This window comes from Homo sapiens, chromosome 7 (genome assembly GCF_000001405.40).
Source record: "Homo sapiens chromosome 7, GRCh38.p14 Primary Assembly".
Classification (NCBI taxonomy): domain Eukaryota; kingdom Metazoa; phylum Chordata; class Mammalia; order Primates; family Hominidae; genus Homo; species Homo sapiens.
In genome coordinates, this window is record NC_000007.14 from 131,899,467 (window position 1) to 131,912,485 (window position 13,019).

Consider the following 13,019-nt stretch of genomic DNA (forward strand, 5'->3'; position numbering starts at 1 on the left):
AACCATGAGATGATACATGATTACTGTTTATGATGTCATTAGGCTTGGGGTGGTTTGTTATGCAGCCATATATAACCAGTGTTCCAGGTCCGCTGTGATGGAGTGAGACATTTAACTCAGGCGGAGGGGGGAATGCCATTTTGACAAGCTTATATGGCCACAGATCTAAGCTGTGCCATCAGCAAAGCAGTGTTTCCAGATGATGTGGTCAAGCCTTCCTTGAGGAGTACATAGCCCCTGCTAGTATTTGGGGAATGGCTTTAAAAGTCTACCTTGGCAGGCGTCAGCTGTGGCCTGGGAGATTGGCAGGAGTGGTAGAGGCCAGCAGGGCCAGGGGAAGGAAGTGGTTTAACCCTTCACTCTTGAAGGGAGCTGGGATATTGGGGAAGTGTCAGGAAGAGGAACCTTGGAAGAGCAACCTGATACCAGGCCAGGGAGATAATGCCAGAACCTCAAATGTGGGCCAATGCTTTCCTGCCCAGGCCAGGAAGCTTGCCTCTACAGTGAAGAGTAAGGGGCCTCAGCCCCTCAATGAAGAAATAAATACCTATTGAACATCAGCTCTGTAGTTTATTGAATTTTTATTTTTACAACAACACTTTGAGCTAAGTATTATCTCAGTTTTTTACATAAGGAAAGGGAGACTCAGAAAAGTAGAAAGGTTGAGAAACTTACCTATCACATCATTTGTAAGTAACAGCTGGATTCAGAGCCAGGAACATCTGCGTCCAGAGCTCCTGTCCTAGCCCAGGGGTGAAGTGTCATGGAAGTGGCTTGGTGGAGTGGTCCAGAAAATGTATTCTAGATCTAGGTAGCCTGGGACCAGCCCCTGGCTCCATGCTTCCTACCCTTGTAACTCTGGACAAGTCACTCCACCTCATCATGTCTCAAGGTCCTTGTCTCTAAAGTGGAGATGATAGCATGTACCTCATAGGTTACTATGGGATACAATGAGTTAGAGCCAAGGGCTTGGAACAGAGTCTGGCACAAAAGAGGTACTTTGTGAGTACTGGTTCATTATTCTCTCAACTCTGCAAGACTTCTAAGAACAAAAAAGACGTGATTCTCAGAACCAGGCTGGAGTTGACAGTGCCTAGACTAGATACGGAGCATGGCCAAGGCCACTGAATTGATGTACATGTGTGAAACACCTTCCCTTTTCTTCTCTTCCTCTCTAATCCCAAACTATGCAGCTCGAGGTTATGAGATGGCTGGTGACCACTCCTGAATCCAGAACACAGTGTCCCCTTAGCTCTCATAGGCTACCCAAGCCAGAGCTCCCAGGGAAAGAGCCCTTTCTTGGAGATGGAGCTTAATAATCACATTCCAAGGGAATGTTTGGGGAACAGGGGCTGAGGAAGGAGGGTAATTAGTCTCCTGTGGACACAAGTCTTCACTTCTGCACTGGGAAATCAAGAGCCCATGAGGGTGGGCTTGGGTTGTCAGACAGCATGTCCCTGAGGGAAAGGTTCAGGCTGGGTTTCCTGCTGTCCCCTTTCCCGGCTGAAAAGGAGCAGCTAAGTGTTATTGATCCAAGCCCCAGGGGGAATATTTGCTAGAAGTTTGCTGGCACTTGCTCAACACTTAGCTGGTATTCATTATTCAGTGATAGGGATGGGGAGTGGAGAATGTTGGCATTGTGTCACCAAGTGAGCCTGGCTTCACCAGGGGTAACATGGGAACTGGGAGAGGCAGACAGCCTGGAAGAGTCAAAGATGACTGGCTCTCATCCTGAGAGGACCAGTGGTGTATGGTAGTGGGGAAAATTCTATCTCCTGGGCAGCCCCTGGCCTCCCACATGTCATGGAGGCTCTGGTTTTTGGCTGGAGCCTAGGAAAAAAAACTTTGGGTGATACTAGGTCTGGCTGCCCTCTGATAGCCTTTTTCTATGTCTCAGTTTTCTCAGATGTCCCACCCATTTTAAATGATGTATTGCAATGAAACTAGGCTTTACAGTGAGAGAAATGCCAATCAAGCCCAAGGCTCCAGAGTGGGTCAGAATAACTCACGAAACAAGATCTAAAGGACATGGATTTGGTTGTTTCCTAACCCTGTGATAGGCCTGCCCATTCTTGGAGTCTGTCCAACTGGATAATGGTGATATAAGTTCCTTGTAACAGGTAACACCACAGACAAATATCAGCTATCACCATCACATGATGATGATGATATTTTTACCACCTTTCCAAAAATTCATGCCCCCAAACCTAATGTAGCCATAACAATCAGCGTGAGAAGGGAGAGGGGTTAGGACTTGAACAAGACTGTCCATAGCACAACCCAAAAGTCCATGGAGAGAAGAATAAATAAATAAATAATGACATCTTCACCAAATGGAATATTTTACAGCACAGGAAATGGAAATTAGTAAACTACGTGTAGCAATATGGGTGAATCTTAGAATATAGTGAGTAGGAAAATGCAAGTTCTAGAAGGCTACAGACATCAAACTTCAAAATTAAAACTAAGAAATAGGTGACGTAGGCATACATATCTAGGTGATACAACTGAAAAATAAAGCAAAGGAAAGAAAAGCAAAAGGTTTAGTGTAATGATTACCCTTGGCAGAGGTGGTGAGAGCCAAGGCAGAGGGCCAGGATAGCACAGGAACATGCAGACATGCTGTTCATATTGTTCTAGATTTTGAGTTGGATGGTGCTATAGCTTGGATGTTCATCCCAACAAACCTCATGTTGAAATTTGATCCCAGTGTTGGAGGTGGGGCCTAATGGGAGGTGTTTTTGTTATAGGGGTGGATCCCTCATGAGTAGATTAATCTCCTCCTGGGGATGGGGTGAGCGAGCTCTTGCTCTATTAGTTCCCATGACAGCTGGTTGTTAAAAAGAGCCTGGCACCTGCCCTCTCTCTCTCTTTTGCTTCCTCTCTAGCCATGTAATCCCTGCACAAGCCAGCTTCCCTTTCCCTTCCCCTTCCACTATGAGTGGAAGTAGCCTGAGGCCCTCACCAGAAGCAGATGCTGGCTCCATGCTTCTTGTACAGCCTGCAGAACTGCAAGACAGATAAACCTCTTTTCTTTGTAAACTATCCAGTCTCAAACATTCCTTTATAGCAACACAAATGGACTAAAACAGATGGTGAAAAAAAATGAATGAATGCATGAATAAATGAACGAATGAGTAAAAAAGTGGGCCATATGCGAAACAATGTTGGCATTGAGTCATAACTAGGATTATGATTAATCCAATGCTGAATACCTAAAATCCAAAATACAAATTTTTTCATTTAAAGAAAATTCTGGTGATGAGTGAATATTTAGCACTGGATCCCCAAGTAGAAGTTCTAGAAACACAATCATTTTTTTTCTATGGGGGATAGGAATGCCTCTCTATAGCCCACTGTACTTAGAAATACTTTTGCCATACACTTTGCTGAGGAGAGGTGAATTCCAGTCCTGATGTAGGTATGCTGAAGAATGTGTATGTGTATATATACATATAGTATGTATGTCCTTGGAGCTGAATTTATAACTGGCACTGAACTATGATAAATAGTGCTTCTATAAACATTCTTACATATGTCTTTGTTTATGTATGTATACATTTCCTTTGGCTATATATCTAGTAGTAAAATTGCTGGATCACAGAGTATACAGTAGTAGTCCCTCCTTATCTGTGGAGGGTATGTTCCAAGACCCCCAGTGGATGCCTGAAACCATGGATAAAGCCAGCCCTATATATACTATATTTTTTCCTATACCTACATACCCATGGTATAGTTTAATTTATAAATTAGTCATAGTAAGAGATTAACTACAATTAATGAAAAAAAAGAACAATTATAACACTATACTGTAATAAAAATTATCTAAATGTAGTCTTTCTTTCTCAAAATATCTTATTGTATTGTGCCATACTCACCTGTTTTCAGACCTTGGCTGACCATGGGTAACTAAAATTGTGGAAAGTGAAACTGTGGAAAGCCAAACCCTTGGGTAAGGGGGGACTACGATGTGTATGTTCAACTTTGATAGATAATGCCAGTTTTCCAAAGTGGTCCTACCAATTTATACTCTCACCAGCAAGTTTGAGAGCTCCAGTTTCTCCACATCCTCACCAACACTTAGTATTATCAGTCATTCTAATTTTTACCATTGTAAAAATTAGGTGTGAGGTCATATCTTACTATGGTATTATTTTATGTTTCTTTGAAGATTAATGAGGTTGAGCATTTTTTGTATATTTATTGGCCACTTAGATTTTTTTCATGAAGTTTGAGTCTTTCTTATTTTCTATTGGATTATTTGTCTTATCCTTATTGAATTTTGATGTTCCTTTTAAATTATGCATATGAGTCTTTTTGGAGAATATACATATATTTTAAGATTGTCTTGGCTGTTTTTGGATCTTTGCATTTCCATTTAAATTTTAAAATACATTTTTATTTTTATCTATTAATAAAAACCACCCAAATGTTTATGAACAGGAGAGTGGATGAATAAATTGTGGTAAAGTCACACAAAGGAATATTACATAGCAGTAAAAATGAATGAAACTATGCAATGTAGCAATGTGAATGAATCTTAGCAAAATTTTATTAAGTCGGGGAAGAAAAGATTCAGAATATTACATGCAGCATAAGCCCTTTTTATAATGGTAAAAACAACTAAAATAAAAATGTTTACTTTTAAGGAATACATATAGATGAGTGAACACTATATTCAAAGGAAGTAAGGGAACAATGGACTTGTGGTTCAGGATGGTGGCTGCCTTGGGTGGGGGAAACAGGAGGCTGGGCAGGAGAATGGCCATGTAGCGAGATGAAAGTTTTTGCCAAGGTCCCAGTCTTCAGGTTGGATGGTAGATTCACAGGTGCTTATCAGATAGTGAAAAGTAGATACATACATAAATGAATAAATGACCCATGAGAAGCCATGTTATGCATCAAGAATTCTGAATAACCTGATTCAGTGCCACTGAGGTCCACTGAGAAGAAAAATCTGACCCTGAAAGATTGAATGAGGACACTGCTGTCAACCCCCTTGTTGTGGGGCCCCCAGTTTCCCCTCATGACACCTCCTGGGCTGAACAGGGTTGCCAATGTCAAGATGCATATTACATATATTAATATTAGGAAAACTGAATTTCTTTTAATTAGTTTTTAGAAAAATGAATGAAAATATATGTTGTCTTTTTTATCTCCTACACCCCAATGCATCTTGTGTATTCTTGAGTATATGCATGCCAATTTAGAGACCTGTGCCCTAAGTGAAGGACATTTTAGGTGGACTTAGTTTTAGACAGATCACCCTGTTGGCATGTGAAAGATGAACTGGAAGGGGCAGTAGACAAGACAGAAAGAGCCTTTAGGAGGCTGTTGATATACTCTTGCTGAGGCAGGAAGTGGGACTCAACTCTGGAAGCGGGGCTCAGACAGCAGACCAAACTGAGGATTAGCTAAAACAGGGCTGAGGCAAAAGCAGCTTTCCATAAGACACACCCCCAGTGTGCTATGTAGGTTTACCATTGCCATGGCAACACCTGGAGTTATTGCCCCTTTCCATGGCAACGACCCAATGACCCAAATGTTACTACCCCTTCCCTAGAAATTTCTGCATAAACTGCCTCTTAATCTACATGTAATTAAATAGGTATAAATATGACTGCAAAACTGCCCTGAGATGCTACTCTCTGCCTATGGGGTCACCCTGCTGTGCAGGAGCAGTCACGGAACTATAAAACTACCACAACTGTAACACTGCTTCAGTAAAGCTGTTTTCATCTACTGCAGCTTGCCCTTTAATTCTTTCCTGGGCAAAACCAAGAACCCTCCCTGTCTAAGCCCCATTAGGGGCTCACCTGCTCTGCATTACCACCAGGTAGACAAGAGCTAAGGGGTGGCCATGGGAAAGGGAAGGAAATAAGGAATTTGGGAGGTATTGAAGAGAAGGAATTTATAGGACTCAGTTTCCTTAATACTAGGACATCCAAGAGCTAAAATAATTATGTATTTACTCTTCTCAGCTTGTGACTGCCATTTCTCTTAGAGTCAGAATCTCTCTTTGCTCCAAACTCTTGGGTCTCTCACCCTCCTACAGAGTGTTGATACTTTCATATAGGTCCCAGGGCAATTACAACCTTACATCTGATCTCACTCACTGATGGACTAATTGGCAGTGCCCTCCCTGCTGACAGCCTTCGGACGTTGAAGGCAAATTAAGCAGCCCTTGATGGGTAGTAATGCTGCTGAAATCTGGAGGCTGGTGGCGTGGGGGTGGGGTTTGCATTTCAGGAAAGTGTGCTACAGCTGCCTCTCAGATCTTTGAGCTTGATCCATTCTGCTTTCCCTGACAGCAGCCCATCAATCACTCACCTTAGATACTTCCACAGGCTGACATAATTGAAAGCTTCAGCTGGATTCTGTAGTGGGCTTGGAGGATCCATGGTCCTAGAGGGTAATTTGGCAACAGGCAAGCCCACAGTTCTTAGAACTTCAGGGATAAAGACCACATCTTAGGCCAGGAAGACCAAAGGCTCAAAGGTCCCATGCTCCATCAGGGAACTCAAAGGCTTGCTTTGTTGGGACACCAAGCCAATCATGGCCTGCCCCTCTTTGAGCCTTAATTTACTTATCTGTAACATACAGGTGCAGACTTGAAACAAGTCTTAAAATGTAGGCACAAATGCTATTGGCAGGAAAGCAAGTTATATTACTGCTGGGGCAACTTGTTAGCACCACTTGGGAGTTATGTGACCCTGGGTGAGCTATGCACTGCTGGGAGCCCTGGCCTCAAAGAGAAGAGACTATATAAACAAGTATGTGTGACAATGTCTGTCACACAGCACACCCTCTCAGAACATCAGTTTTCTTCTTCACTGTTTGGTTGCCAAATGGAAGAGATGGGGGCCTGGACTGAATATGGGTGAGCTGCAGGATTACCACCCAAATGCTGGCTTCTGCATGCCTCTGTGGGCCTCTAGAGTGGTTTCTCTCTGGCTGGACCACTCTTCCCTGGCCTGGCCTGAAGTGGGGAAAGAGGTGGCTAAGAATGAGACTGAAGGACGTAAAGAAAGGTCTATACCTCTGAAGGCAGAAACTGTGGGCAAGTCACTTACTTCTCAAGCTTTAGGTTTCCCACATATAAAGTGAATTGGTCCTAGCTCATGGGCTGGGTGTGGAGGATGAAATGAGATCGTGTCCATTAGACTCCTGGAGCAGAGTACGTGATTCCCAAATGTCAGGTGACCTCCCTATCCACCTCTCCAGCCTTCCCCTTGGAATAGACTGTTGGGACACCCTGAATTTTTTTTTTTTAAGCGGTGATTCTCTGAATGTGGTTCTGGACACAGGGGCTCTGGGAAAATTCACCAAAACTCAATTCACAGAAAGTACATTCATCAATTTCATCTTGCCAAATGGTGATTTGGCTTCCAATCAATCAAACCTTGGCCAAGTTACTTTTGGCAAGTGAGCCTTCCTCCCAGAGGAATCCTCTAGGTGGACTGGGCTGATTGGAATGCAGGTTTAGTGAGATGCTCAGCTCAGGTGGCATGAAGGGCAGAAGCAGGCAGCAGCTTGCTTTCAGCATGATATTGCTGGACGCTGAGCCCTGCAGTTTGTGGCTGATGCCAGAGCTGTCTTGTCCTTTTCCCACTTCTCTTTCTGCTGCATTTGTGGCCATTAACACAAAGGAGTTCTTCACTGAGAGGAGGGAGGCTGCTGAAGTGGAAATGGAGCCAGGGTGGGGTGGAGCCGGGTGGAGGGCTGGCACACCAAGCCCAAGGAAAGAATCACTGCTTGATATTCTTGATGTTTCTTCCTCTTTGCCCAGACTTCCTGGGACTCTCTCTCTTCTTCTCCTTTAGCTTCTGTTTTCCTTGCAGAACATAAGGGGTCAGAAAGCAGGTAGAGTGAGAGGGCAAAGGGAAGGAGGGAGGAGACGGTAGGATAGAAGCCCTGGTTCATGAAGACACATGAACCCTGAACTTCCATATGGATGAAGATTCTTTGATTGCAAGCAAAGGAAACAAACTGGTTAATTCTCCTAAAGGAAGCTCCCAGTATGGAAGGGAGAAATGGGATGGGGGACAGGCAAGAACCAAGGCTGCATCCAGGGGCCCAGAAGCAGCTACCACATAGTGGTGGCCAATTAGGATGAGCCTGGTCAAGATGCAGCTGCAGCTGATTGTTTTCAGTCTCTGTGCCTATGCTCAAGATTCAAATTCCAGAAAGGGGCATCCTATGGCATCGCTTGCATTAGTCAACCTTTCATTGTCTGGAAAAGGGAGAGGTTCTAGTTACTTATCCCCCAGGCTGTACCCAATGGAGAAGACGTAGTTCCAGTGGAGGAAACTGAATTGCTGAAGAGAAAATAGAGGGTAAGAAACCAGAAAATAATAAATCATGGCAAACAGGTATACAGTGTTGAGAATGTGCCAGTCTCTGAGCTAAGAGCATTACATCTATTAACTCCTTTAATCAGCCTATGTAGGCAATGAGGATATTGTTACCCCATTAGACAGATAAGGAAACTGAGATCCAGAAAAGTTAAATAATTATCCTAGGTCATAGAGCTAGTAAGTGGCGGTGCTGGGTTTTGAGTCAAAGTCTCATTCCTAATGCCTGTGCAATACTGTCCACTTCACTACTGCCCACTTGAAAAGCAAGCTTGGGAAAATCAAGGACCTTAGTGGTCCTAAAGAAGGCTAGTTTGCTCAGGGTTTCCGATAATAGAAGAAAACTAGAGAAAGCTGGTGGTTCCATTTTTCAGGTCTCCCTATCTCCAAGGCCCCTCTACTGACTCCCATCTGAGTGAGGATGTCTGCGCCTGTGCTCAAGGGCAGGTGCCCCTGCTGAGGAGGCTGGGAGATGCTGGGGGAGGTCAACATGAGCTGCACTTAACAAGCAAAGGAAAGGAGAGGCGTTACACAGATTTAAGATTTAACAAAAGGAGAATTAAATTGACATTTTATTGACTTGCAGTGGGAGTTGTTAAAGACAGATTACTGCAGCAAGGGTTGAGTTTGATTGAAAGGACGGGAGAGAACTCAGCTTCCAAAAGCATCAAACTTGAAGGCCAGTAATACCCCAAGGGGCAAGGTGAGCACATAAATTTGAACTCATACAAGAATACTTTCCAGCACATGCACTCATACCACACATCACAAATAGCTCCCAGAAGCCAGGCCCAGAGACACCAGGTGAAATGAGGGGGTAAGAGCACAGTGTTCTAGATTTGACTCTTATCAACGTCCCGTCCCCACCCCAACCCGATGTCTGGCCCCACTGGGAGCTTCAGAGATGGAATTTCTCATACTTTAATGGAGAAATAGTGTCTTGAGGAAACACCCTTTTGCTTCCAGGAAGAAAATGATCCCATTTCAAAGCTGTCTCTTCAGGGACTCCCTGCATGCTTAGTGGCTCGCAGAGATGCAGCACTTGCTGGGAGGCCAGCAGCGGTCTGCAAAGGCCTTCTCGGGAGAGCCTAGCCCCGTGCGATTTGTCTTGGTGCAGGCGTGGGTGTGGGCGACACCCAGGGAACCTGGGAAAGGAAGAACAGAGATATGTGGAGAGGGGGCAAAGGGCAGGGATGAGACCAGATTACAAGGAGCAGGCTGGCTTAGATTGTCCTTGGAGATAGCACCACTCTGGTCTCTTGTTTCACACAGGTGTTCAAATGAGGGTCTGGATTCTAGGGTGGCTGATGATGATTCTTGTCTCAGGAAGCTTTTCCTCTGTGGGGGTGAGAGGTGACAAGCGTGCTAGCAGCCCTCGCTCTCGGCGCCTCCTCGGCCTCGGCGTCCACTCTGGCGGCGCTTGAGGAGCCCTTCAGCTCACCACTGCACCGTGGAAGCCTCTCGCTGGGCCGGAGCCGGCTCCCTCTGCTTGCGGGGAGGTGTGGAGGGAGAGGCGCGGGCGGCAACCGGGGCTGCGCGCGGCGCTCGCGGGCCAGCTTGAGTTCCGGGTAGGTGCGGGCTCGGCGGGCCCCGCACTCGGAGGGGCCGGCCGGCGCTGCCGGCCCCGGGCAGTGAGGGACTTAGCACCCAGGCCAGCAGCTGCGGAGGGTGCGCCGGGTCCCCCAGCAGTGCCGGCCGGCCGGCGCCTCGCTCGAATTCTCGCCGGGCCTCAGCTGCCTCCCGCGGGGCAGGGCTCGGGATCTGCAGCCCGCCATGTCCGAGTCTCCCCCCGCGCCTTGGGCTCCTGCGCGGCCAGAGCCTTCCCGACGAGCGCTGCCCCGTGCTCCGCGGCGCCCGGTCCCATCGACCGCCCAAGGGCTGAGGAGTGCAGGTGCACAGCTCGGGACTGGCAGGCAGCTCCGCCCTGGCCCTGGTGCGGGATCCACCAGGCGAAGCCAGCTGGGCTCCTGAGTTGGGTGGGGACTTGGAGAACTTTTATGTCTAGCTGGAGGATTGTATATGCACTAATCAGCACTGTGTATCTAGCTAATCTGGTGGGGACTTGGAGAACCTTTATGTCTAGCTAAAGGATTGTAAATACACCAATCAGCACTCTGTGTCTAGCTCAAGGTTTGTAAACACACCAATCAGTGCTGTGTCTAGTTAATCTAGTGGGGACTTGGAGAACTTTTACTTCTAGCTAGAGGGTTGTAAATGCACCAATCAGCACTCTGTGTCGAGCTCAGGGATTGTAAATGCACCAATCAGCATCCTGTCAAAACAGACCAATCAGCTCTCTGTAAAACGGACCAATCAGCTCTCTGTAAAATGGACCAATCAGCAGGATGTGGGTGGGGCCAGATAAGGGAATAAACGCACAATGGCAACCTGCTTGGGGCCTCTTGCACACGGTGGAAGCTTTGTTTTTTAGCTCTTTGTAGTAAATCTTGCTGCTGCTCGTTGTTTGGGTCCACAGTGTCTTTATGAGCTGTAACACTCACTGCGAAGGTCTGCAGCTTCACTCCTGAGGCCAGCAAGACCACGAACCCACGGGGAGGAATGAACAACTCCCCACGGGAGGAACGAACAACTCCCCACACCTTAAAAGCTGTAACACTCACCGGGAAGATCTGCAGCTTCACTCTTGAAGCCAGTGAGACCACGAACCCACCAGAAGAAACTTCGAATACGTCCGAACGTCAGAAGGAACAAACTCCAGACACACCATCTTTAGGAACTGTAACACTCACGGTGAGGGTCCGTGGCTTCATTCTTGAAGTCAGTGAGACCAAGAACCCACCAATTCTGGACACAGGCATCTCTGTGTATCTCTTGTGTGATACACTCCCTGCCCCTCTTGCTACACCTATGAAGGGCTGAGTCAGTGTTTGAATACCCCCTTCGCTTCTGCTCCTGCAGTGTTGAGAATGTGCTAGACTGTATGCTAAGTGAATTACATCTATCAACTCTTTTAATAGCTGTAGCTCCTGCCATTGGTGTCACATCTCTGAGAATCCTTCTGGTGGCTCCCTTCCCCTCCTTAGCCCCGGCCCCCCAGGCAGCAGCTGCATCCTAATCACAGGCATCCATAGAAGAGCTGTGACTCCAAATCTACAACCCTTCCCTCCCAGTTATCCTGTTGTCTTCCTGGGGGAGATCTGGTGCAGATAAGGGCATTAATTATGTCCTTATCTGCATTATTAAAAGTGACTTCTCAGATTCCTCCCAGACATCTATTATAGTGTACTGCTGGGAGTGGCGGGGAGTGGCATTAAACATCCCTCTTACCTGTTCCTTTTCCTCCCTCTTTCCTACCAAGAGAACCGAGTTCTTCTCTTAGCTCTCAGGGCTTCTGCTGCACAGTGCACCTTCCACCCGCTCTTCACTCCACTGTCCCAGGTTTTGCATCAATTGAGCACAAGGGAAAAAGGAGCCTCTGGCTTAGCAAAAAAGATTTGAAGGTGACCTTCACTGAGCCCTGAAAGAGATAACAATCTCTCTGCAAGCAACAAGGCTGACTCTTCTGGATACTAAAATAGCAACTGTGGAGTAAACCTTCCCTCTGTTTCCCTCTCTTTTTCTTCAGGACAACACAAAGAAATTCTAGGGGTGAACTGGGAAATCACAGTATCTTTTAACAGCCTGAAAGCCTGAAAAGAAAGTTCCTGTGTGTGCATTTGCAGCTCATCAGTACAGAAAAGCTAATTATCTCAGTACTGTTGCTGCCTTCTTGCATCCAGCATACTCTGTCCTCACCATTATGATCTTATTGGTCCTATCAGCAACGCTGAGTCATGGAGGGCCCAGCAATGGTGCACCCCATTTTAGATAGGAGAGAAACAAGGTCCACGGAAGGAAGGTTATCCAGGGATAGAGTGGTCAGAGTCAGAGATGAATGTCTGTATCCTACCAATTTCACCCTAAGTGAAATCCTAAGGGTTTTTTCACTAAATTTCCACAGGGAATGGAATGAGTTCTCTGGGCTTGATTGCTGGACCATGGACACATTGATATAGGGATTGCTATTTTACAGCAATCTTATCAGCTCTTGTTGGACCCTACTCTGTTCCTCTTCTCCTGATGCCAGGCCCAGAGATGTTGTGCAGTGACTATCATAGCATCCAGCAGGTAGTTGTAAAGGTAGGAAGAGATGGAATGGGGAAGGAGTGATGCCTGTTGCATTTGGGGAGGGGAGGGAAGACTGCAGTTGTCACGATTGGAGTTACCAGGGATTTGGAACATGCATTTATATATGATGGCAAATGGGAAAGAAGAATCTGGCACATGAGATGACACATATATGTCCTTTTGAAGAAATAAAGTAAGAGGTGAGCCCAGGAAGATAATGGCCCAGCATTGAGGTCATATGGGGGCCCCCTCAACCCAGAAGACCCTCTGCAGCAATAATGAGAACTGATGGGTGGCAGTATTCAGGATCACGGAATAGAGAAGAATGCGTGCATAACTTACCTATGTGGAAAAGCTGATGGAAAGAGACCATGATCGGGTTCTAGGAGCATAAACTGTTAAAATTAGAAGGAGACTTCGAAGTCATCCAGATGAGAAAACTGAACTCAGTGACATGCCCAAAATGAACACTGCCACTAAGCAGCAGAATGGAACTAGAATTTAGTTCTAGTTTCCCCTCTCCAGATGTCACGGGCA

The 13,019-nt window shown here is 46.1% G+C and overlaps 1 long non-coding RNA gene across 1 annotated transcript in view; it reads left to right on the forward strand.

Annotated features, from left to right (window-relative positions):
• Nucleotides 1–10,753: 10,753 nt before the first annotated feature.
• The window catches only part of LOC101928782 (uncharacterized), a 38,734-nt gene continuing 36,468 nt past the window's right edge, over nt 10,754–13,019 (forward strand). Inside the window, exon 1 of the long non-coding RNA NR_110836.1 lies at nt 10,754–11,105. This is a non-coding gene — a long non-coding RNA (uncharacterized LOC101928782). The remainder of the gene's footprint in view (nt 11,106–13,019) is intronic.